Source organism: Homo sapiens, chromosome 8 (assembly GCF_000001405.40).
Source record: "Homo sapiens chromosome 8, GRCh38.p14 Primary Assembly".
Classification (NCBI taxonomy): domain Eukaryota; kingdom Metazoa; phylum Chordata; class Mammalia; order Primates; family Hominidae; genus Homo; species Homo sapiens.
The window spans coordinates 19,596,841-19,624,624 of NC_000008.11; the positions used below are offsets into that span (position 1 = coordinate 19,596,841).

Sequence of the window (27,784 nt, forward strand, 5' to 3'; positions counted from 1 at the left end):
AAATTTACCATCTTAACCATTTTTAAGTATACAGTCCAGTAGCATTAAATACAGTCACAGTTTTCTACTGCTAAATTCATTCACTGTTATGCAACCAAACTCCACATCTTTTTCATCTTGCATAACTGTAACTCCGTACCCATTAAACAAGTGCCCATTCTTGCCTCCCACAGCCCCTGACACCTCTCATTCTATTTTCTGTCTCTATAAATGTGACCACTCTAGGGACCACATATTAGTGGAATCACACAGTATTTGTCATACTGCGACTGGCTAATTTCACAAAGCATCATGTCTCAAACTGCATCCATATTTTAGTAGGTGTCAGAATTTCTCTCCTTTTTAAGGCTGAAAAATATTCCATTGTATGGATATACATACTGCATTTCGTGTATCCATTCATCTGTTAATGGATATTGGGTTGGGGCTGCCTCTATCTTCTTTCTTTTTTTTTTTTTTTTTTTTTTTTTTTGGAGAGGAGGTCTTGCTGTGTCACCCAAGCTAGAGTGCAGTGATGTGATCATAGCTCACTGCAGACTCAGTCTCCTGGGCTCAAGCAATCCTCCCGCCTTTGCTCCCAAGTAGCTGGGACTACAGGCATGAGCCACCAAGCCTAGCTAATTTTATTTATTTATTTATTTTTGTAGAGATGGGGTCTTCTCACTATGTTTCCCAGGCTGGCCTTGAACTCCTGAGCTCAAGTGATCCTCCCACCTCACCTCCCAGAGTGTTCCGATTACAGGTGTGAGCCACAGCACTCAGCCTTCACTTATTTTTAAACAATTAATTTAACTAAGCAGGCAAAGTGCCGGAGTCCGATCCCTTGCCTCCAAGGCAGCAGAGAAAATACAGATGTTAAAAGGAAGTAGGGGAAAGGCTGGTACACCGTCAAATGTGCAGCAAATGATGATAACATTGCTAGCTTCTGATGAGGGTCTTCAGACACCAGCAACTCCTTCAAACCTTTGTTTGTGAAGTAGGAACATACATATGCTAGATGCTAAAAATGCAGAGACCATGCCTAGTTTGAGGGCCAGATGGCCAAAGGGCAAACATCTAACCAGTAAATAATTATGAACAATAGGGAAAATAAGGCAATAGAGAGAGGCACACAATGGCCCAGCCCCATCCCAGCCTGGGGCTCAGCAAAGGCTCCCCCCTTACCTGCCTCCCAAGATAAGTCTCAGGCATGGAGTGAGAATCTGGAGGGTCAAGAGGAAGGGGAAGGCACTGCAGATATGGGACAGCAGAATAAGACATGGAGGAGAGAAGGTGAAGCACAGGCTTGGAGGTAGAACCCAACTCAATGAAAAGGGAATCCCAATAGCAGAGCTCAAAACAGAATGGGAAAGACAGCAACAACACCTGATTAAGGGTCAATCAACAGGAAATAAAAACCTACTGGAAGGCATGCATCACCGGATACCCATTCATGTGCCAGTATGAACCTCCTGGAGTAGCCTCATCTGCAGAAAACCAATGGTGGCCCAGGAGTATAAATTAAAATTGAAGCAGTGAAAGGTGACACTGATTAAAAGCTTACAGACTTTATGGCACCCCTCATTCCATTCAACGAAAATATTTTAAAAGTCTAAAACACATCCAAAGGAAGGCCACTTTATAAAATCCAAACTGTTACTTTTCTCTGGCTTTTCAAATAGGAGCAACTTGCCCAGTTAGTACATTAGAGTTTTATATTATTATTTACTTATAACATCTGCTTCCTTCCAAAAATGATTGCGTCAGCTACTATTTTATGTTATTTGCTAGTCATGCTTCACAGACTAGCGGAACTGCAAAGGGCCTATAAGCTTATGTGTCTACAAACAGTTTTTACCCCCAGATGCTCCAGAAGGAGCTGGATCACCAAAATGGGAAAGGAAAGTTCTGCGCCCTGCTCAGGGGTGAGTTCAGGAGACGACTGCGCAAACAATAATGACAATGCAATGACACGTGCCCATAAGAAGAATGTGGGTGGTGCCAGAGGACTAAGTGGAGCCATCTTCAGGTAGGAGACATCCCTTTATTCACTTTTCCATTCATTCACTCGCTCATTCATTCTTTTGTTTGGTGCCTTATAAGAGCCAGGCACTGGTCCTCAAGCTAGAGTACAGGAACACACTACCATTGAGGTGAGGTTTGAAGCTCCCTGGTCAGTGATGAGAAGAAAGTATGCTAGGTAGAGAGAGTGTGGACACCAACACAGCTTCAAGGAGTGACAGCTGGGGAGGAGTGAGCAGAAGGGCCAGAGGTGGGAGACAGGAACAGGTGGAGACAAAAGCACAGGTCGGGGAGGGGGAGCACAGAGAGCTAGTGTCAGGGGAGGGGGAGCACAGAGAGCTAGCATCAGGGGACAGGAGCATGGAGAGCCAACAGCACATCTTTTCTTTGATAGGAGGAAAGCAATTAAGGATTTGGAAATGTGGTTCCATTTCGTGGTAGGGAGAGGCAGGAAATATATCAGTGAGCAGTGACAAGATACAAGGTGGCCGTAAAAATTGTGAGCAGAGGCCAAGCATGGTGGCTCACACCTGTAATCCCAGCACTTTGGGAGGCCAAGGAAAAAGGAAAGAAAGGAAGGAAGGAAGGAAAGGAAGAAAGAAAAAGAAAAAGAAAAGAAAGAAAGAAAGAAAAAGAAAGAAAGAAAGAAAGAAAGAAAGAAAGAAAGAAAGAAAGAAAGAAAGAAAAGAAAGAAAAAGAAGGAAAGAAAGAAGGAAAGGGAAAGAAAGAAAGAGAGAGAAAGGAAAGGAGGAAGGAAAGAAGGAAAGAAAGAATAAATAAATAAGTAGTCCAAAGCTGATTAAGGTCTACTTGGGCAAATGCAAAGTTATAGGATGTTTCTGCTCTAAAGTTAAAGCTACCACAGTAGCAGGACAGGGAACACTTGGGGAACCTGGGAAGCCCTTGTTTTCCCAGAACTGCTCCTTACTTTTATAGACTCAGGGCTTGAACATCCTTCAGCAGCAGAACTTCACCAGACTTGAAAGAAACCAACGTGCACATTGAGAAGACAGCAAATGAGTTGTTTCCTTTCTTTTTGGGCAGACAAACCTACCCCACACCCAGTGCATGCTTGGCAATCACAGGATCCCAGCAAGGGGAGTTAATTGTTCCATTCAAACATTTAGTAGCATTAGGCCATAAGTTGTGCAGTAGGGATAGCCTTGTGTGTTAAACATATCCTTCATAGAGCTTGCTCCACCATGGTTCATTCTTGGTCAATTGCTGCTCACCATTCATTCATTCATTCATTCATTCATTTAGAGACAGAGTTTGCTGTTGCCCAGGCTGGAGTGCAATGGCGTCATCTTGGCTCACTGCAACCTCCACCTCCCCTGTTCAAGCGATTCTTCTGCCTCATCTTCCCTAGTAGCTGGGTTACAGGTATGCACCACCATGCCTGGCTAATTTTTATATTTACAGTAGAGATGGGGTTTCACCATATTGGCCAGGCTGGTCTCGAACTCTTGACCTTGTGATCCACCTGCTTCGGTCTCCCAAAGTGCTGGGATTATAGGAGTGAGCCACCGCACCCAGCCTACTTCTCTATTTTGTAAAGTTTATTTTGACTGTTTTCTGGCATTATCTCAAGGTCTTACTAATTATGGTCTACATGGGGTTGTAATGACATTGCTCTCTTTTGTATCATCCAAGTAATTCTCAAAAACATTAAACATCACAAGGCCCAAGATTAGGACAGTTCCATACGCCCTTCAAGTTGACCCTGAATTACTTAAGCCTCTTAACCACTTGACTTTCTACTTAGGAAAGGATTTGGGAGGAATTCTCCTTCAGTTATTTTTGTTTGTATTATTAACTTTCAGCCAAGGTTTTTTTTATTTTTTCTATTGTTAGTAACTGAAATACAGTTCTTTATGAAACTCCACACACCCTCATTTAAGTACAGGGCAGTTCATTAATGCAAAATCAAATCATTAACTACTCTGGCTTCCATTATTTTATCTTAATAGTGTGACAAAAGTTTTTGGAAAAAAAAAAAAAGCAAAACCATCAAGCAAACCTCTATAGACATTTGTTAAATGAAGGAGGAAGGTGAAGGGGGCTTTCTGAAGATATGTATATGCTGAGTGCAGCTTACCTATTTTCATTTTTATGCCTATTGAATTACTTCTAGAAAAAAAAAAGACTCTCTGCTGAAGCTTGGAACCATATATACAGCTTCCTGTTTCATACCATCGCATGTCAACATTAATGATATTTTACAGTACTTGTTTTATTTTGTATTTTTTAAGTTTAGTCTTATCAGATGTAATAAAACATCTTATTGCATAGAAACTCAAAATTACTGGTTACAAGAGCAGAACTAAAACAACATTCCAGAGATTTTCATTTGTCCCCGGACTAAAACCAAGCTTCCAATCCGTAAGGGCACTATTCTCAAAGAGCTCTAGACAGTGTCCCTCTAAGACACCATATGTCAGAAAGAAAGCTCATTCTTCAATTTCCAAAACCATGGTATTTAAATAATTATTTTCTAGCAAAGTCAAAATTAGAGTACCTATTTGATGACAGGGTGACTATTTTAAAAAGCTCAGTATTCTGTCCCAATTTCCAATGGGAGAACAAATGTCCCTATGTAAGCGAACTGTTTCAAAAAGATGTAGCTCTTCCAGCTCTATGATTGGTTTAAGTCACTTGCCACTCTGAGAAGAGATAAATCCTTAAAAAGTTGGGAAAGTTAGATGTAGATGTAGATGTTACAGCCTTTAAAAAGTGAATGAAAAGGATTCAATGGAGCCAAGTAATTGTATTATTTTGGAAGAAGTATCATTCTCTTGAAGTAATAACTTGTTACTAATCAAGCTATTGACAGTAGAATGAAATTTCATACATTTCAAACACATCCAGAATATTGAACACAAAGCAGACCATGCAAAGGTTTGTTTCTTGAGTGAAAATGCTCACTTACCTGGGGGTTCAAGAAGGGAAGGTTAGGAGGTGGCTACATCATTGCTCCTCTGGGTCAAAATTACCTTGGCGTCTTTCCTTGAAATAGGAAGGCAGCTAAAATAAAATAAAAACAAAAGGCAACCCTTGTAAATTTCCATGTCTTAAATGTATGTGGTATTACAAAATGGGAACATTTTAAATCACTTAGTATATAAAATACAATGCATCTGAAAGTATTACCCCAAAAAGCAGGATGGTATTTGTTCTCTCCCTGTTTCAATGAATAAAATGCAAACTATTTGTTTAAAAAAAAATCAAGGCTTTAAACAGTGATAACCATGTCTAAAGGTGTCTAAAAATGAAGCTGAACATTTTCATGTGAAAAAGAGCAAATCAAAAAAGCCGATCTCGCAGGAAAGAAACGTGCCCAGCTGCCAGCGAGCCGCTTCCTAACTCGCAGCTCTGCTTCCAATGCTCTGACAGCGCTGAAGTCACACTGGGGTTTCCAGGTTGGGGTCAGGAGGGAAAGTGCTGCCCCCCTCTGCAAGGACTGTGTTCAGCGCCACCACTTAAAAAAAACGGTTTCATGAAATGAAATGTTAAAAAATAAAAAATTTCCTTTTTTCCCCAGAGAAGGTAAGAGCGCACACGCTGGAAAACGGTGGGAGCAGGGAGGAACGACCGCCTTCCCGAAGCACCGCAGGGTTCGCCGCACAACGCCGCTGGTGAGGACCGAGCGCATCTGCCCACAGCGCCCCAGCCGCGCCTGGAGCCTCCCGCTCCCCAGGGAGAACGGTGGGCGCGTCCCAGGGAACACGACACCCAAGGAGAGGGCGGGCGCGAGTCCCACCGGGTGACCCGCTCCCTGGGGGGCGTGAAGCCCCCAGACCTGCCCTGCCCCTGCCTGGAGATTGCGCCTTGCAGGGAGTGACAACGGGCCCCAGCCGTCCCTTCCTTTTAGGAATATCAATGGAGGAAACCGATGTGTCAACTAGATAAAAGCAGAATGGGAAAGAGGTGCAAGCAAAATACTCTGGAATGAAGGGCAAGGGGAAAATACTCTGGAAAGGGACTAAGCCCTTCCAGTTAATTTCATGTCAATAATGTTGTCTTCAATTAACGAAGGCACAGTCCTCCTTCCCGAGTTGTCAGGATTTTTATCCCATCTGTCTTTATTATTCGAATAACAGCAAATATCCATCTATATATGTATTTGCTATTTTTATATATATATATACATACATACACAAATATATTCATATATACAAACATACAATTTGCTATTACTGTGTGTATACACACACACACACACACACACACACACACACACACACACAGAATTGCTCCCATTTCACATGCAGGAATTAAAAAAAAAAAAAAGTAGAAAGAAAGAAAGAAAAGAAAAACAGGCCCAGAAAGCGCCAAAGGAAAATTGCTAAGTCTCAGGTCTAAAGACAGCTGGTCCCCAGTTCCTCCATGGGGATGGCCTCCAAACACCTCTCCAAAGGTTTTCTCTGACTCACTGACATGAACAAAGTCAGCTGAAGTGTGAGGTGTATCACTATAGAGGTTTAGAGTCTATTTTGTACCCACCCACTCTCACCCCAGTTCACTGTGGGTTTACTGTTGGAGAGGGTTGCCGACTGCCTAGGGCCAGCTCTTGGCCCCAACTCGGTCCTCTACTGCGGTGCCTGCGCGGCTCCCACCACCCACTTCCGCCTCTGCCTGGCCAATCAATCTATGTCTACACCAAATTGCAGTTGGCAGCAACGCAGCAATGCCTAAGTGGAATAATCACTTGGACCCGAATCTGAGTTGTTTTCTGTCCCCGACAACAAATAATGTTACTTCAGCGCCTGCAGGCCAAGAGTTGAAATAAGCTTATAATTTGGCTTCCAATCCATCTCACATTCTGATTCCCAACCACTTAAATTTTCTTTTCTGTGTTTTAGCTTGCAGGCAGCAGATCTGGAGGCTCCATCACTGGCATGGTCTTTATGGATATCCTTCATGAATACCCTTGGCCATCTAAGTAAAAAGGGGGGAAATCTACATAATCCAAAACCACACTTGTTTTAACAATGAAAACAAATAGACTGTCAGCTGGTACCTCCACATAATCATTAATAATCTAATTTGTACTTTCTTACTCCAGCAACTTGAAGAACTGTTCACAGTTTTCTCATCTACACACAGTAACATACATCGAGCCCTGGAGTGTGTGGTACTAGCAATACCAAACTGCAGGTTCGGAGCCACGGCATGGCTCAGCTCCTCCCTCTTTTTCCAGTGAAGGTACTTATTAAAAGTCTGCTCTTCAGCTCTGGAAAGTACATGTCTCCTTAGCCGTTCCAAGCATCATATTCCTCCAGAGAAGAGTCATCTCAAGCTAGTAACTGAAAAATGAAGAGACTAGAAGGCAAACCCACTGCCAAGACCCCCTTGGTAATCAGGGTGGAAGGGGAATAGCATCTTGGAAAATTCCAGGAGGTGACCTGCAGGTATACTACCAGCTAATGAGAAGTGGGTATGTTCAACTGGACAGACGCTCTATAGGAAGAAAAGAGAAGGAACATCAACAGCACATCCATAATGTGTCCATACACCACACAAGCTATGTTACACATGAACTCATTCCAACCACAACAATGCTATGGATATGTGCATTAATATTTCCACTTTACAAACACAGAAATGAGGCTCAAAGGTGTTAAGTAACCTACTAGGCTCATACGTGGTGAAGTCAGGATCTTTCTAACTTTCAAAACCAAACTCTACAAAGGAAAGCGAGCCTTTGCTCTGTTGACTTTGCAACACACCTTCACCTACAGGACTTAGCCTTCATGTATGATTCTTTGAAATTAAGTATGGGGCGGCCAGGTACGGTGGCTCATGCGTGTAATCCCAGCACTTTGGGAGGCCGAGGCGGGCAGATCACAATGTCAGGAGATCAAGACCATCCTGGCTAACACAGTGAAACCCCGTCTCTACTTTAAAAAAAAAAAAAAAAAAAATTAGCCGCGCACGATGGCAGGTGCCTGTAGTCTCAGCTACTCAGGAGGTTGAGGCGGGAGAATGGCATGAACCCGGGAGGCGGAGCTTGCAGTGAGCCAAGATCGCGCCACTGCCCTCCAGCCTGGGCGACAGAGCAAGACTCTGTCTCAAAAAAAAAAAAAAAAAAAAGTAAGTATGGGGCTTACATAACACAGCTGCATGGAAGTGGTAGCTAGGTATATGTGCTGCCAGCAACCTAAGGCTGCCATGTTGGCCTCAGGAACACAGCCCACCCTGATCCCCTATAATTCCCTCATAAGAAACCATAATGACAAAAACTCACACTTTCTGAATGTCAAAGAAATAGACAATAAGTATTTGCCAAAAGCAAAAACTAAATCCAGGAAAGCGACTGCAGTTAGAATAGTTACAAAACCTTGCTTTGCCCAATTCAGACAGTGACAATGACATCCCTCTGTCTAAATTCTTATGTCAGCCTGGCCAACATGGTGAAACCCCGTCTCAACTAAAAATACAAAAATTAGCCGGGCATGGTGGCAGGCACCTGTAATCCCAGCTACTCAGGAGACTGAGGCATGAGAATGACTGGAATCTAGGAGGTGGAGGTCGCAGTGAGCTGAGACGGTGCCACTGCACTCCAGCCTGGGGGAGAGAGTGAGACTCTGTCTCCAATAAATAAATAATTAATAAATTCATTCATTCACTCGTTCTTGTATCCGGGTCTCAGTCCCCTCCCCTGTCCTCCAATGCCTAGTATGTTCTCCATAGCTTGGCACAGAGAGTGAGGATTCCGAGTGAGCATTATGGAAGAGCTCATGTGTCATCACCAGTGTCAGTTACAGTAAGAACCGAGTAAGAGGAGGCAGGATGTGCGTGAGAGCGGCTGAGAAACCATCCATGGAAAAATCCTAGACTTGGTTTTGCAAGTTTTTCAGTTGGGACTCTAAAGATTGGGAAGTCCACCCTTCCCCACCCCCAAAGAAATGGAGTTTGGCAGACATCAATTAGCAGTCCTCTATAAATAAACCTGCTTTTAATCATGTTAAAAGAAGCCTACCAAAAATCATCTACTGAAAAGAGCAATTAAAAATGGTGAAAATGAGTACATTGAGATCAATAATATTTTAACCATCTAGGAATTCATCCTATTTAATGTACAACTAATAAGTGAAAGTTCTCCACATTTTAATGTCCAAAGGGCTTCAAAAACACAATGGACCCAATGGTGTGAAAATATCCATCCAGCTGCCTTAAGTTCCAAGGCTTACTCACCTGCATCTATTTAAAACTTTAAATCTTTAGACCATCTAAACCATGTCTGTGTCAGACACACTGATTCTCAAAATGTGAAAAATAAAAAGGCTAAAAACCCTCTTCACCATCAGCATGCCTAAAATAACAAATGAAAAACACCACGAGATGAGATATGTGTCTGCCAACTAGAAGTTCCCAGTGAGATCTTCTTTGTGCATATGTGGCTAATTTTATATATACACAAAATTTATATTTAAATCTTAATGGTAACTTTTTTATTTCTTTAAATCAGTGAAGTCCCTTATGTTATGGCACTGGAGGATAGAGCAGGGATAGGGTCAGGAACTATACAGACAACTTCTAAAATTATCATCTTTCTCAAGATATGTCTCAGAAAAGAAAGGCCTCTTGGATGTCACACATGATAAATTGTGTGTTACTATACAATATCCTTAACCACATTCCTTCTACATTAAATAATTTTACTGCAAATAGTATGTTTTAGAACACAACTGATTTTAAAGGTCATGAGTTCTTCCCCTAAAAGATTACTTTTCTGTTATTTTGTCAAATGAAAAAGAGGATCTTGGTGTCCTGGTCTTAAGACTACAGGATGCAGACTCAACGGAAACATATCTATTTTTAATTCCTTTTTCATTTTAATCCTTTCACTCAAGTGGGTCACCCTGCTTTTCTTCACTTCAATTTCTTACCTCAATAAATAGAGATAATCTCAGATAACAAAATTATGCTACTAAATTACTTGAAGTCTCTTTAAAAAGGTACCAGTCCATTATTGCCTTAAAGGATACCCAATATTATTTTCCTTATACTTTAAAGATTTACCAAGTGTAGCCGGGCACGGTGGCTCACACCTGTAATCCCAGCACTTTGGGAGGCGGAGACGGGTGGATCACAAGGTCAGGAGATCGAGATCATCCTGGCTAATACGGGGAAACCCTGTCTGTACTAAAAATACAAAAAATTAGCCGGGCATGGTGGCAGGCGCCTGTAGTCCCAGCTACTCTGGAGGCTGAGGCAGGAGAATGGCATGAAATCAGGAGGCAGAGTGTGCAGCGAGCTGAGAACGCGCCACGGCACTCCAGCCTGGGCGACAGAGCAAGACTCCGTCTCAAAAAAAAAAAAAAAGATTTACCAAGTGCCTCCAGTAGGGACCCTGCGTGGTCTGGAGTTGAACTGTTTTCACATTGTCAACATGGGAACCACTAACATAATCGACAATGAAGTGATTCCCATCACAAGCTAACTGGAGATATAAATGATAAGCTATTATAGCATAAAAAAGCACTGACCAATTTAGGCTGGAGAGGATCCGCATTATAACTAGTCTCTTGAAAATAAAGTAAATTGCTTCTGTTTGTCATTGGCTGTGAGACCAATAACACAATTTTTCTCCTCAATCAGTGAAGATACAGACAGCTGATGGACCTCCGTAAAAGAGCTATTTTCCAGCAAACGGTCTGCAGTGCCATAGTTACACTCCACATGCAATTGTTCATTTTATTAGACACCCTTTTCCAGTAAATCCTTCTGGGCTAGCCCTGCCCTTATTAGACACTACAGCTGCTCAGCTGGTGCTAGATGCCATCACAGAGCCTAATGAGGCCTGAACAGTGTTTCAGGGATATCAGCTGCACTTAATCCTGTCCAGAACACAAAATTTGGCTTTACATCTTAAATGAGTTACTGTGAGATCTTAGGCAAGTTCTTAACTCCTGTGAGTCTCCACTTCCCAATCTGTAAAATGAAGAGGTTGGACTAAGTCTGTGATTCTCAGTGAGGGAGGATGATCTTTATCTGTTGTCTTCTCACTCCTAGCCAAGAATCCCTGTGTGTAGGAAGATATGTTACAGATGGTAATAAGCTACACCGATTAATGATGAAAATGCAGACAGCACTGAGACTTAGATGTTAAGACTAGGGAAGAGAAGCTTAAAAAGAGAACTACTATAATGCTTAAAGTTGTAGACTTCCAGAGTATAAAGATTTCAGCAGGCTAACTGATGAAGAGTAGTTAAACAATCATAGAACAACCATGGTTACTTCATTAGCCAAATGTCACCTCTCATTGTGGCCTTTCCATCGCATAGCTGGCTGAGTTAGGCAGGCACAACCCTTCATTCAGAAAAGTAAACTCACCCCCAAAGATGATACAATGATCAAGAATAGCTCGTCTAGGATGCATGATCCCAGGCAACAGGGACACCTATACGGGGCAGCCCAACATAACAAATTATACATTCCCACACCTTATACACCAACACACCTACTCCAACACAACAATGGAAGTAGCGGTATGGGGAGGGCAGAGGTGTGTGGTTCAGAAATACCAAGTTCAGTCCCGGTTCTGCCATGAAATAATTGTGTGACCCTTGAGCAAGTCACCTGCAAAATCAAAGTATGGAACAGACCATCTCCCAAGTTACCTTCCAGTAGAGAAACTGCACTTACTTTTTATTATTCTAATAAACATCTATGTGCTACTACAATCTCCACAGCATCTTTAAGGTCACTACATGCATCTCCATTACTGGCTCAGTTTTTAAAATTACCACATTCCCAGCCTTTTCGGGCAAAGACAACACTTAGGACAACTGCCCAGAACACAAGTTTGAGATGCAGAATGAGTAAAGTTTGTTTTCTCTGGCTTCTTTACAATTCCCTCTGGCTAAATTCTACCCTGTACTCTGCCAAGTCTCTGTATTTCTGGCACTGAGGCTTGATCTATAGTAGTCATAGGCCTGGTGACACTGTGATAGATGAAGAAATTAAATCTTTCACCAAACTAGAACAGGCATTTTGAATGGTAATTTTTATCTTCTTCCTTCCCAGATGCAGGAATGTCAACAGTTGAGAGATACTATGATGAAGGTAGACAGTCACTGCAAAAATGGACTTGCCTCCCAAATGGTCTCTCATTATCTTGCAAATGTATTACTTTTTCTGTATCAATTTCTGAGTTTATTTTGTGTTATGCTCCAACTGCAAGGGAATTGAGAACATACTGTCCACATTTTCCAGAAAAGACTAACGTTAACAGAATGAATCTTTCACCATGAAAATGAAAACTTTGTGTAAATATTTATATAATTAAATTTATTCAATCAATCCATTGGGTTAGGCTGATGGAAGGATGCTTTTTTTTTTATATTGAGATTGAGGGAGGCAAGAAAACAATTCTAATCTCAAGATACAAATAAATATATAGTAATATTGCTTATAGATGTCATTTAAAAAGATTTATGCATACAGAATGTAAATGGATATTGCCCTCAGGGATCCTACAATTGCTGTATATTATTTGCTATGCATACTAGATAATGAAGTTTAAAAATATAGATGGGAAACACAGATGTTTCCTCAATAAATATTTTTAAATCATTTCAATGTGTTTTCATTCCACACCATAGCCAGGTAAGCAAGACAAGGATAAACAGTTAACAAAGAAAACATCATTGGAATACTCAGCAATAAAAAGGAATGATCTATTGATACACATATCAGCATGGATCGTAATTATGCCAAGGAAAAGAAACCCAACAAATAGAATACATACTGTATGATTCCATTCATATACAATTCCAGCACATCGGTGTTCACCTGGGGATGGGGGTTGGGGGGTGAGAGGGGCAAAGAAGGACCCAGAGAAGCAGGAGGGTCAGATTACTGACGGGCACATGAAACCTTTTCTGGGGATGTATATATTTTCGATTTTGGTAATAGTTTCATATGTGTATACATATGTCAAAACAAATCAAATTGCCTGATTTAAATACGTGAGTTTATTGTGTATTAATTATACCTTAATAAAGCTATACAATGTGGAAAATATCTAAATGATACGGAAAGGACGTGCTGGGACGGGAGGAGCATGGTCCTTTTAAATAACATGGAAGAGGCCGGGCACGGTGGCTCACGCCTGTAATCCCAGCAGTTTGGGAGGCCGAGGTGGGTGGATCACGAGGTCAGGAGTTCAAGACGATCAGCCTGGCTAAGATGGTGAAACCCCGTCTCTACTAAAAATACAAAAGTTAGCCGGGCGTGGTTGAGGGTGCCTGTAACCCCAGCTAAAACCCCGTCTCTACTAAAAATACAAAAATTAGCCAGGCGTGGTTGCGGGTACCTGTAACCCCAGCTACTCAGGAGGCTGAGGCAGGAGAATTGCTTGAACCAAGGAGGCGGAGGTTCCAGTGAGCCAAAATTGTGCCACTGAACTCCATCCTGGGCGACAGAGTACGACTCCGTCTCAAAAAAAAAAAAAAAAAAAAAAGATACAGAAGAGGGGAAGGGAAGTGCTGGGTAGAGGTGAAGGCGTGGTCCCTGGCTAGGATTCCAACCCCCACGGACCTCGGTGAGGACAGGCATTTCCTGCCCAAATGTTGCATTTCCCAAGACCACTCTGGCCTGCCACAACCCATCCTGTGCCTATAAAAACTCCCGAGACCCCAGCAAGGCAGAGACAGGGGCAGGTGGACATCGAGAGGAGCACATCGGTGGAGGAACACACAGGCGCTGGACAACCACAGGAACGCACCGGCAGGCGCCAGCAGGCCACCAACCAGCAGAAGGAGAACAATGCAGAGTTTGGCTGGGGCAGTCCGAGGAAAGCCCAGGCCACCGAGTGGCCCAGCTCCCGAGGAAAGCCCTCCCACTCTACCCACTTCTGACTTTCGCTGAGCTACTTCCACTCAATAAAACCTTGCACCCATTCTGCAAAGCCCACATGTGATCTGATTCTTCCTGTACACCAAGGCAAGAAACCGGGATACGGAAAGCCCTCTGTCCTTGAGACAAGGTGGAGGATCTAACCGAGCAGGTTAACACAAGCCGCCTACAGACGGCAAAACTAAAAGAGCACATGGTAGCACATGCCCACTGCGGCTTCCGGAGCTGTCAACGTCCACCCCGAGACGTGGGGCGGGAGCCCCGCAGCCTGCCCGTCTGTATGCCCCTCTAGAGCTTTGAGCAGCGGGGCACTGAAGCAGCGAGCCGCTCCCCCTGTCGCACGCCCTGCGAAGGGGACAAGAGAACTTTTCCCGTTTCAGAAAAACAAGGCATAGTTAAAATTGTGAGTAATTAAGACACCTGTTGCATGAAAAGCTACAGAAAATATAAGCTATACTAGACACAGGAGACTACCAGAGGCAGATTTCAGGATCAGGGGAATTCAGCAGGTTTCACAAAACTGAAAAAGTCATTCTGAGCACTTAAAGACTGTGCCTAGTTAACATTCATCTCCTCCAAAATATATAATTCTTATTTCCTTAAGATTTTTTTAAGGTAGCTGGGATTAGAGGTGTGCACCACCACACCCGGTTTAAGGTTTGACAGAAATAGTTATAACTTCCTTCACAGTAGTAAAAATAGCTAGCTAGCATTTATTGGGCACTTGCTGTAAACCACGCCCCAATCTAATGGATTATCCTATTTAATTCTCACCTAAGAAGCTAAGAGACGTATATAATCTTCACTCTCTATGTTACAGATAAGGACACCTACTATTCAGGAACATTAAATAACTTGCTTAGTGTCACCCACCATCCCAGTGGTGGAGCTGGGATACAAACCCAGGTGGTCTGAATGCAGAGTCGAACTCTTGAAATTAAACTTCTGGCCCTCTTCTTCATGAACAGGATCCTGTATGCTGACTCATACCTCTGATGGCTTAAAAAGACTCTTTCTTCATTGCATAGCTACAGTTCTAAGTCTGAATGCTAATCTTTTGCATGGTAGCAGCAGAAACGGTAAGTAGTAAAGTGATGGTGGAAGGCAAGGGGAATTATGGGAGGAAAAAAAATATGACCGGAAATCAGCAGAATCGGTTTTGGTCAAGTCCTCACTGATGACTGTAAACGTGGGCAAGCCATGTCTCCTGCTTGGATCTGTTGCCTTTATGGTGAAAATTAAGGATTTGAACTAATTGATTAATTCTAAGACTCCATCCAGCTTTGTGATTCTGCTGGTCCTCTTTTGAGGAATACTTCCTGCATTTTACAACTTGGATTAAAAATTCTCCATGAGACCAGCACAGTGGTTCACGCCTATAATCCCATCATTTTAGGAGGCTAAGGCAGATGGATCACTTGAGGCCAGGAGCTCGAGACCTGCCTAGGCAACATGGCAAAATCCTGTCTCTACTAAAAATACAAAATTTAGCAGAGCGTGATGGCACATGCCTGTAATTCTAGCTACTCAGGTGCCTGAGGCGAGAGAATTGCTTGAGCCTGGGAGGCTGAGGTTGCAGTGAGCCAAGATCGCACCACTGCACTCCAGCCTGGATGGCAGGATGAATCCCTGTCTCAAAAAAAAAAACTAATTGAAAAAAAAAATTCTCCATGAACGTAATACATTTCAGATACACAGTGTTCTTCATCCCCTCAAACACCCAGACACCTCCCCATCCCCGCCATACCTTGCAAGATTCTTCACTATTTCCTCAAGATCATCTGTTCACAAGGATCACCCATAAAGGCCCAAGAAAAAGGAGGAGGGTCCCGCAACCAGTGACTTCCCTGTTCTGCTAGGCACTCTAACCATCTTTTTCACGTGATAAGCACGCAAGAGTTAATTTGGGCTTTCAAGGAGTGAAAAGGAGGCAGCCCCCACCCAGAAGCTCATTCCATTCTCCTTGTGTAGCTTCCGACATCTGAGATGATCCAAAGTCCTACTACATGGTGGCTAAAGTTGCGAGATTCCGTGTATTTCTAATTCTTATTCGTTCTTTAAAGTGGCTATTCTCTCTTTGCACTAAAAACACACCATTTTCTCTTTTTAAACGGATAGATTTTGTGACCCTTTGGGGAGACATAAAAGCGAGAGAGCAACTAAATAAGGCAGTTGTAAACCATTTCAGCACCCGTAAAACCTTCTCCTTTATCACAAAAGAAGAGAGGAAAAGCAGCTGGAAAAAAAAAAAAAAAAAAAAAAAAAAAAAAAAAAGCACAGCTGACAGGGAACTTGGTATCTTTAAGAACAACTTGTCTCATGAATTTTCATATCCATATTTTGGGGTTTTCACTGAATTGAAAATTCTTTCCAGAAAAACACTTCTCATGTGTGATAACTACTTTCACAATACATTGGTGAGACAAAACTCTTAAAAATTTCAAGGTGTACCATGTCTATTTTTCTATAATTCTACCTATATGTCAGCTCTTTATTTCTATTCTGTATTTTACATACTCTCACCTATTTTCAAAAACATCCTGTTCTAGCTCAGAACATATAATTTATGTTTCTATTTAGTGCTTTGTTTTTATTGAGTTATTTAGCAATTATTCTATGATAAACCAAAAGTTAAAATATAGATCATCCCTTTCCTACATCAAACCATATTTACCAAATTCACTAGTAACCTTTATCATCGCACAGACCGGTTTTCTTTGGTTGCGTTCACCATGCGCACACTATTTTCTAACTTTTTGCTTGATGTCTGCATTTATCTACTGAGTCCAGATATCTGTCATTTTTAATGGTACAATATTCCATTGTTTTGCTAAAGCAGTTCAATTAGCCATCTTTCAGCTCGTTGTTTCCACACATGATTATAACCAAGTCAACCATTTTTAAAGAAATAAATTTTGTTTGTTCCTACTGGAGCTCTTTCCTTAGGCTATAATCTGAAAAGTAGGGTTAACACGTTTAAGACCATAATCAGCCCCTGTGACTTTTATTATAAATCACTTTTATTATTATAAATGGCTCTCCAAAAGAGGTATTAGCAACTTGCAATGTCACCAGCAAAATTATGACCGTAGCTTTTTCTTCATATTCTCTTTCGCACTGAGATTTCTGGGCTGTATTTATTTTAGGGTGATTTTATTTGGGGAGAACACTTGTATACCAGTGTCCATCCAGTGGTTGAGGACTCCTGAGTTAGGGAAGTCCCAGATGTCAACTAATGCATTAATTATTCCTGAGAGGTGATATTTAGAAAAACAGTTTCTACGATCAAGTGACTCTGGAAAATGCCGTGTCAAAGTTAACAAGTTTCATTGTTGTGGAAGATCCCAAAGCCTTTAATCTACTAAAAGAATGATGTAGAATCTTTTAGTTCTTTGAAATCTGTCACATTTGTGTAATACTCTTAATGCCCCCTTTTAAAAACGTGTATTGATCACCTATTATATGCCAAGTACTTTATATGCCTGATAACTCATTCAATACTCCTGACTGCCTGATAAAGTCATTATTACAAATCTTACTTTTACTAAAAAATCAAAAACTGAGACTCGAAAGGCTAAATAATGTACGCAAAATTCCAAGGCTAATATGTAATGTTAGCTTTTAAACTCATTGTCTACTTTTTGTGGATTCGCCATTATACCATCCTGCCTCATAACACAATGTTTAAACATATTGTCAGTTAGCCAGTTTCTGTTCTTCTTTTTGGTGGGTTGGGGATGTTCAGTTTTCTAGTTTTCCTGTTTACTGAGTTATCAATACACAGATGAGTAAAGTACAATCATCTTAAAGATACAGCTCAATGAGTTTTTACATGTTATACTCTTCTATAACCATCACATGGATCAAGATAAAAAATTTTTTTTCATCAGCTTAGGATATTTTCTTTTTCAACAGAGATTGGTTTTATGCTTCTCATTCTATATAGGGCCTGGTACTGAAGTTATTCAAATAGGTGTTTAATAAACTCTGATCAGAGAAGGTTGAAACTAGAAGTGACATAGTTTATGTGTTCCAAACTCTTCAATTTACAGATGTGCAAACTGAAGGCAAGAAGGAAAGTGACTAAAGACACAACAATTCAGAGCATTTCTGCTACACGGTGCTGCCCTTGCTGGCCACTGGCTGGTTACTTCTACACATTGTACTACAGACACAGTGAGGGGTAACCAGAAGACAGGATGTGTAACAGAGAAAGAAGCCCAGCTAAAGAGTTTTGCAGTGATATTTCAATTTTAAACAAGTGTTGAAGTATCCAAAAGGTAAAACTGGTGAAGAAATGCTCAACAAACTGACTTTAATGTAAAACACTATTTTTCATTGTAAAAATATCAACACACTTTGGGAGGTCGAATGGGTATTTGAGGTCAGGAGTTTAAGACCAGCCTGGTCAACATGGTGAAACCCCATCCCTCCTAAAAATACAAAAATTAACCAGGCATGCTGGCGTGCACCTGTAATCCCAGCTACTCGGAGGTTGAGACAGGAGAATCAGTTGAACCCGGGAGGCAGAGGTTGCAGTGAGCCCGGATTGTGCCACTGTACTCCAGCCTGGGGGACAAAGTGAGACTCCATCTCCATCAATCAACTGATAAATAACGATTTCCATCCAAAGGAATTTGCCCTTCCAAGTGGCGTCCTGGGAGGACAGACACTTATTCCAAGAATGCTCGTGACTTCTTTTGAACCCTCTCTTTGAGATTAACTTCAGAGCTACTTTGAGTCAAACAAACCAATTTTATTTTTAAAAACTACAAAATCAGCACCAACAGAATAGGTACCAGATGTGTGTCTTCCAAATCGTAAGAAAACAAAAATATAAGCCATATAACTAAAGCAATAGAGAATTATAAGAAACATTTAAAGTAGAAAAATTTTTCCAACTGGAAAACATATTAGAACTATGAAATGTGATGAACATGAATAGGTTAAACATCCCTAACAAAGACAAAGATTTTCAACATCCAATTATATGCTGTTTACAAGACAGATCTAAAGTCAAGTGACTCAGCAATCAAAAACAAGAAGAGGAGCAAGATGTATCCAGAAAATGCAAATGAGAAGAAAAGATGAATGACAACATTTATATCAAACAATCCAGAATATGAATCAAAAGACCATTTAACAGGACAAAGAACATGTGAAAAACGTCAACCTCATTAATAAAAATTTCATTTGTATGAAGAAGTCTTAATTTATCAAACAGGTATTTTAATTATAATACTTTTATCATAGATGTTACAGCCAAATAGGCATATCCATATCATCAACTCTTAAGAAGACAATAGGAAAATTACCAAGACACTGTGGATATACAAGATTGAATAAAATGCACCCATTTAAAAAAAAGTTTTGAAATACATTTAATGATGTGGCAGTGTTATCATACAATACTAGGCAAAAGAGGAAAGGCACAAGATGTATATAGTAGGACCTCAATTTATCTTAAATATTCATATGAGATATTTTTAAAACTAGAAAAAGAAATACTCTGGTTAAATTAGGGAAGATCTTTAGTTATTTCTTTATGCTACTTGTTGCTATTTTTAAATAAGAGAAAGCCTCAAGTCCAAGATAAACGAAAACATGGCATTAGAAGACACAGCTTCCTCAAATTCAGGCATCCAGACACTCAGACCCAGACAAATACCATCCCAAGGTACTGATGAGGGGTCATAGAAAAAAAAATTGTAGAATCCTGACCCTCCTGTCACCTTCAGGCTCCAAAACCCCATGATTTTTATTTTCATCCAAGGACTGGCTAATATTTGATATAGTTTAGACATTTGCGCCCCCAAATCTCATGTTGAAATGTAATCTGCAATGTTGGAGGTGGGGCCTCCTGGAAGGTGACTGGATCATGGGGGCAGATTTGCTATGAATGATTTAGGACCAATCCCATGGTACTGTCCTTGCAAGATCTGGTTGTTTAAAAGTGTGTGGTACCTCCCCCCTCATTCTCTCTCTCTCTCTCGCTTCTACTCTCACCATGTGATGTATCTGCTCCTGCCTCACCTTCCACCGTAAGTAAAAGCTCCCTGAGGCCTCCTCATATGCTGAGCAGAGGCCAGTGCCATCCACGTACAATCAGCAGAACTGTGAGCCAATTAAGCCAGCGGTCCCCAACCTTTTTGGCACCAAGGAATGGTTTCGTGGAAGACACTTTTCCCACGGGGGTGGGGCAGGGTTGGGGGAGATGATTTGGGGATGATTCAAACTCATTTCACGTACTGTGCACTTTATTTCTATTATTACCACATTGTAACATATAAGAAAATAATTACACAACTCACCATAATGTTGAATTATTGGGAGCCCTGAGCTTGTTTTCCTGTAACTAGACAGTCCCATCTGGGGTTGATGAGAGACAATGACAGATCATCAGGCATTACAATCTCATAAGGAGCGCACAACCTAGATCCTTGACATGTGCAGTTCACAATAGGGTTAACACTTCTATGAGAATCTAATGTCGCCAATTATCTGACAGGAGGCAGAGCTTAAGCAGTGATGCAAGTGATGGGGAGCGGCTGTAAATACAAATGAAGTTTCGCTCACTCGCCTGCCGTTCACCTTCTATGGGGCCTGGTTCCTAGCAGGCCATGGATGAGTACGAGTCTGTGGCCCAGTGGTTGAGGACTCCTGAATTAAACCTCTTTTCTTTAAAAAGAAATACCTAGTCTCAGGTATTCCTTTACAGCAATGCAAGAACACCCTAACACAATGTTTAACCCGAATATAGACTGTGTTCATCTTTTCTTTATTCTATGCTCTCCAAACATATATTACTTTCATAAGCAGAGTAAATTAATAAACACAAAACACAGTTCAATTACCCATTTTGTTCATAAATCTGTCCTACAGAGATATACATTTACCACTGCTAGAAAAAAGAATGTGCCAAGTGCCCCAGGATAATTCTGAACAAGAAGTTCCAAAAATATTTTAAGCGAAGGCAGACTCATGGGAGTAGCTTCCCAAAGTATTTTCATTGAATTACTTTGCATTCATTTTAATTTATATATTTTGACATGTTAGGATATCTTAAAATAAAATTGTGCTGATTTATGTTAACATGTCATTTAATTAATACCTTGAAGGAAGAATAGATAGGCTTTTAAAAGAGGAACTTAATAAAAGTCATTATATTCCTATATGCTTTTTTATTTTTTAGAGACAGATTCTCTCTCCATCACCCAGGCTAGAGAGCAGTGGTGTGATCATAGTTCACTGCACCCTCAAACTCCTGGGCTCAAGCAATCCTCCCACCTCAGCCCCCAAGCAGCTAGGATTACAGGCCCTTGCCACCACTTCCGGCTGATTTTTTTTTTTCCTGTAGAGATGGGGTTTCACTACATCGCCCAGGCTGGTCTCAAAGTCCTGGCCTCAAGTGGTCCTTCTGCCTCACCCCCCCGACAAAGCACTGTGATTACAGACAATATTACTGCAACTGGCTATGCCTGTACGCTTCAAATGAGATTTGTACTCATTGTTGCTGAGAAATAATCAGATTCCAGGTTGCTCAGGAAGATCTATGTCTCGGCAAAATATATACCCTGAAAATTATGACACAGAGGACTATGTACTATGACTGTAGGGCTGGCATGCATAGACCTAAGAAAACCTTAGTAATTGGCAGGGCCCAGTGGCTCATACCTGTAATCCCACAATTTTGGGAGGCTGAGGTGGGTGAATCACTTGAGGTCAGGAGTTCAAGACCAGCCTAGCCAACATGGTGAAGTCACAACTCTACTAAAATATAAAAATTAGCCAGGCTCAGTGGTGGCCACCTATAATCCCAGCTACTCAGAAGAGTGAGGCAGGAGAATCGTTTTAACCTGGAAGGGGAATGAGCCAAGATCATGCCACTACACTGTAGCCTGGGTGACAGAGGAATACTCCATCAAAAAAAAAAAAAAAAAAAAAAAAAAAGAAAGAAAGAAAGAAAGAAAGAGAAAAAAAAGAAAAGAAAACCTTAGCAATCATGGCACCCAGCTTCTCCCTGTCCTAGAAACCACAGTTCAGACGGGGGACATGACTCTCCCAAGGCCGGGGCTAGCACTTTCTCCAGGCACAGCTGCATCTCTAAGTGCCTTCTAAATTTCTCCTTCCTGCTGGATTTACATAATGTAATTATCACCATCATCCATTTTCTTCCACACTGAATTCTCTACCGCTGTAAGAGAAGAGAAATTTTAATGGGATGGAGGGCAGGTGATAAAACAGGCAAATCTCTCATGCCCCCTTCCTCCAGCATAAATGCACACGTGCCTCAGAACTGTCAGGCTCTATGATGGGGCTACAAACCCTGCCCTCTTAGAGAAGTCACAGATTATTTCCCCTGCCATAAATCAGAAGGCAGTGGGCTATGAGAAAGCGTGTACAGGGCACTACAGAGGAGCAAAGGGAAGGAGCATCTAATCACATTAGACTACTCAGACTCAAATCTGAGTCAGGAAGGGCAGGTAGGAGTGCAGGTGAGGTAAGAAATGGGAGACAGGAAAAGAGCATTCTAGACAGGGTCGGGGGGGGGTGGGCCTTGAAAAAAAGCACAGACATGAGAAAGCATGGCAGAGTTTGGAACCTGTGAGGAATACAATATGGCTGGAATTTGAGATGCCTACAGGAGTGTGGAAGGGAGCGAGTCTATAGAGGAGGCTGGGAACCTCTGCGAAGGGATGGAGCCATGTCCTAAGTGCAATGGAGTCGCAAAGACCTTATTTGTGACATAGTTTTAAATGCTCATTCTGAGTCCATGATGTGGCTGGGCTGGAGAGGTGAAGACTGGAGGTGTGGAAACAAGCAGAAGGTTCCAGCAGTTACCCAACTGAGAAGGACTGGTGCCAGACTAGGGGCAGGTTCAAGAGACATTCTAGGCATAGAGTCAGGGCTCAGTGATTGTTGTCACATAGGGTAAGGAAGACGAAGGAGTGTTTCCAAAATTTAACTTTCTTCTTGTTCAAAACACAGTTTTGAACTGTTGAACACATTCGTGTCACAATAACAAAACAGTCCTGTCCTCAGACTTTGAGTTCCAAATACTGAATAAACATTGATAACAAAAAGGGAGGCAGAGGCCAGGGAAGTTACTTGAGAGATTAGAGAGTAACATCAGACTTGTTGACAAGAGGCAGTATAATGCAGTGGTCATGGTGCCAGATTAACTCGGGCTCAAATCCCAGCCTGGTCACTTGAGACGCTGGGCAAATTATCCTTCTAAATTCTAGTTCTCTAATTTCTAAAAGGAGGAGAATAATGGGACCTACCCGAAGAGATTAACCAGGAAACTTCTATAAGAAGAAAGCAGGCTGGGCATAGTGGCTCACACCTGTAATCCCAACACTTTGGAAGGCCAAGGCAGGCTGATCACTTGAGGCCAGGAGTTCAAGACCAACCTGGCCAATGTGGGGAAACCCCGTCTCTACTAAAAATACAAAAAAATTAGCCAGGAGTTGAGGTACATGCCTGTAAACCCAGTTACTCGGGAGGCTGAGGCAGGAGAATTGCTTGAACCCGAGAGGCAGAGGTTGCAGTTAGCCAAGATTGCACCACTGCACTCCAGCCTGGGCAACAGAGTGAGACTCTGTCTCAAAAAAAAAAAAAAAAAAAAAAAAAGTGCGAAATACTGTGTCTGACCTACAACGAGTACTCATTAAAACACTATCATCATTCAGTACAGAGGATTTCCAAGGGCTGGAAAAGAATCTTTTTTTTTTTTTCTTGAGAAAGGGTCTTGCTCTGTTGCCCAGGCTGGCTGGAGTACAGTGGCACGATCATAGGTCACTGCTGTCTCCACCTCCCATGCTCAAGCGATCCTCCCACCTCAGCCACCTGAGGAGCTGGGACTACAGCATCCACCACCAGGCCTGGCTAATTTATGTTTTTGTATTGTTGAGATGGGGGTCTCACTACGTTGCCCAGGTAGGTCTTCAACTCCTGGCTTAAACAATCCTCCCACCTTGGCCTCCCAAAGCACTGGGATTACAGGCATGAGCCACCATGCCCAACCCCTTTTTTAAATTTTAAAAAATTAGCTTTTATTTTTAAGATATCCTCAGTTAAGGGTAGTGGGTGAGAAAGAATATTAACACTCTGGTATGTAGCCACGGACTGAAAGTTACCAGATGCTCCTTCTCAAGTCCAACCAGGAGCATCAGAGGGAACATGGATCCCTTAAGTGGGGGCTGTGAGATACTCTCACACCCCAAATCTGCTAGAAGAACAGTGGGAATCATCTATTTTGCATTCTGAAAAAATAGAAACTTAACACCGTAAAAATGTTGTGAGAAGTTAGAGGTCTTGGTCATTTTTACGAAAATGAAAAATGAACAACTAGTCTGAGTTCTTTATCAGGAAAACCATAATAAAGAAATGAATGCTAGAAGTGATAAAGAAGTAACTACTGTATTTAAGTTAGTGACGTCTGTTTAATTTTCATTCTAGGATTCTTAAGAAAGTCAGTTGACACAATGATAAAACTTTTGCCTGCATTTTTGAAGGAGTGAGGTCAGAGGTGTGCTGGCAAATGTTTAACAGCCAGATTGATGAGGGGAAAAAAAACCCTGCAAATCTTGAATTTTGTACACAAGTTTATTATAAATTTTACTGAGCTAGGCATGTGTCACACATCCTAAATTTCATATAACCAATTGATTTGTTAATTTTTATACAATTATTGTATCTATAGAAAACCTATGTTTGCATATGAACAAGTGTACTTCCAACATGAATACTTGTTGATATTTTCTTCTAATAATATATTATTAGAAATAATGTCCAGGCACAGTGGCTGTTATGTGTAATCCAAGCACTTTGGGAGGCCAAGGCAGGAGGATTGAGGCCAGGAGTTCAAGACCAGCCTGGGCAACGTGGCAAGACCCAGTCTCTACAAAAAATATTTTTTTACATTAGCCAGGTGTGGTGGCAAGCACCTGCAGTCCCAGCTACTCAGGAGGGTGAGACAGGAGGATCTCCTAAGACCATGAGGTTGAGGCTGCAGTGAGCCATGATCACACCACAGCACCCCAGCCTGGGCAACAGAACAAGACGCTGTCTCTAAAAAATAAAAATAAAAGAGTAAAACAACACATCATTCACTCATCAATGGCAAGAGTGATTCCTTTGCTAAGTCAGATAATTGTTTCTGATATGAGAATATTTTCCACAATTTTTTGTGCTATTCACAATGTAATGCTACAGACAACAGATACTATTAAGTTTAATCTTCAATTTTCTTCATCATTTTTCTTAAGCCTACACAACAAACAATAACTCAAGTCCTGGTATGTAGTCGATACTTCCATAAAGTAAATAGTCCATTGTGGCCAATTTCAAGCTACAAAATGGCCACTGGTTAACAGAATTTGGAAGAAAAGCACAGTGGAACACGGTTATGTAATATTTTTATAATACAGGTATAATGCACTCCATTGTTTCACATTTACAAAACTTCTCAATGTCTTCCTCCAGGTCATCATTAAAATTTGTCCCTATTTGTTGAACTTGACTAAACACGGTGGTTGTTTTATTGTTTAGGGATCCTAAATATATCCATGTTTGAAGGTTGAGATGTAATTCCAAGCACTATCTTTATTAAACTTGGCTACAATTCTGTGGAATGACTTCACTCAATAGTGTACTTGACCCAGATCTTATTGGTTCATGAGAGACAACTATTAAATTTTCAGGAATTTTACAAGCCAGTTGTTAAATGTAACCATTGTTTAAAAGAAATCGTATGAACTTATAATTAAATTATATTTCAAAACAAGGATTAAATATTCAAGATTCATCACTTCCCATTCCTATTACTACATTTTACTGTTACCTAGAAGTTATTCAGGATAGTAGCATATAAATTTGAAAGGGGTATAAATGGAGTTAAAAGTATTTTAAAGCCCTTGCATTGTCCAGGAAGTGGTAAAAGTACTACTTTAAATTAGCCTTTAGTAAGTCAAAGATAAATACACACTCTCTAATGTAACCACTACAAGAATGTAAAATAATGTGTAATTAATAAGCTAATAAAGAGGGGGGAAATAAAAAAGTAATACTTAACTGAAAATAAGGCAAGAAAGGAGAAAAAAAGAAACAAGAAATGGGTGAGAAAAATAGAAATTAAGTAGTAAGATGGTAGATTGAAAGCTAAATCTGTAATTCTATTAAAGGCCAATAGATACCCCAATTACAAGACAAAGATTGACACAGTAGATAAAATAAAATTGAAGTATGCTGCTTAGATGACGGGTTGATAGGTACTGCAAACCACCCTGGCACATGTATACGTAGGTAACAAACCTGCACATTCCACACATGTATCCCAGAACTTAAAGTAAAGTAAATAAAAAAGAGGCATACCTTCAACATAAGGATATAGAATATTTGACAGTAAAGGGTTAAAAAACATATGCAAATACTAACCAAACAGAAACTGGGAAAGCTTAATCAAACTAGACTTTAAGGGAAGAACCACTGTCATCAGATTGATATAGCAATTCTAAAGCTGTATGCATATAATAACATGTCCTTGAGACAAAGAAAAAAGTGGATGAATTAAAGGGAGAAGTAATAATAATCCTTAATCATAGATATTTTAATATACCTTTCTCTGGGGTTCACAGAGGAAACAGGAAAAACAATCTGTGAAGATATTTTGAACAAAAATGTTTCTATACTTTTGCTTTTAACCTCTCTATAACCTGAATTTGAGAAGTCAATCTCATAAACAGCATAAAATATCCTGTCACATTTTTTAAGAATTGAACAATACTATTAACACTCTTCAATACTATATCCACCAACTGTAGAATGTGAATTATTTTCAAGAGTAAATAGAATGTTTACAACAATTAACTACATGCTGGGCCAGAAAGCAGTACTTAACAAATCTCTAAGAATTGAAATTACACAGAGTAGGTTCACAGACCTCAGTAAAATTGAGCCAGAATAACAGAAAGATGACTGGAAAATCCCCAGGTGTTTGGATATTAACCAATAAACTTTTAAAGAATTCATGAATCAGAAACTACTTAGGACCTATTGATAATAAATCCTTTCGGAGGGGAAATCTCTAAGCCAGAATGGGCTTTTCATCTATTCACTGAAAGTGGGGAAATAATGGTCCCTCTTAATGATCTAATGACCTAAGATGATTTCTCTCTTGTATTAATGAATCATGTACTTAAGCCTGTGCCTATGAAGGAGGCTCATCTTACAAGGTCTAGGAGATCACTGGAGGCAAATGGCGAAATATTTTAGATCCGGTCCCCGGGCAGCTACTCCATGGAACACAAGAATCTTCTATTTTATAATGAGCAGTGGCATAGTAAATTACGTGCTAAACCCTTTGTCTTTTCTTCTAGTGCCCAGCACCATTCTCCTAGTGGTAGAATGCCCACCATCGGTCCCTAGACTATTTGGACCACCTCTTCAACAGTGTAGCCCCTCTGAGATTATCTACCATCTACTACCTCTGGTTCCTGATAGCCCTTATTGTCAAGGGATTATTATCTTGACTTTCACCTGGCTAAGAGACCTGCCTCTGATGTTTGAGATTATATACATAAAACCCACAAAAATATTCTGGATTTAAAAAATTTTGTATTCTCCACCAGTGAAGATCTCATCATGCTTTTATCTCCTACTGAACTGCTTACATGTCTTTATGTACTTCCTGTAGCTAGTATAAACCATAAAGCATTTAGAACATAGAACAAAGATAATATTCAAAAGATAATTTTAAGTGTTTAAAAATAGCCAACACAGTATATTAATTGGAGTAATTAACACTAAGTACTGCACACATGCCCCCAAATCTCAGTGGTTTAAAACAACAAAGCTTTAGTTCTCTTTTGAATCACTCTCATGTGTTAATGGAGTTTGGAGTCTCCCCCAAATGGTG

General features: G+C 40.8%; 1 protein-coding gene across 57 annotated transcripts in view; it reads right to left on the reverse strand.

Annotated features, from left to right (window-relative positions):
• CSGALNACT1 (chondroitin sulfate N-acetylgalactosaminyltransferase 1) overlaps window positions 1-27,784 on the reverse strand; it is a 353,748-nt gene that overhangs the window by 192,680 nt on the left and 133,284 nt on the right. For 39 of the 57 annotated variants that reach the window (NR_148898.2, NR_148897.2, NR_148900.2 and 36 more), the window contains one exon: window positions 4,931-5,025. The gene's annotated coding sequence lies outside the window, so the exon portion shown is untranslated. The other 18 variants (NR_148901.2, NR_148902.2, XR_007060745.1 and 15 more) reach the window with 5 other exon arrangements.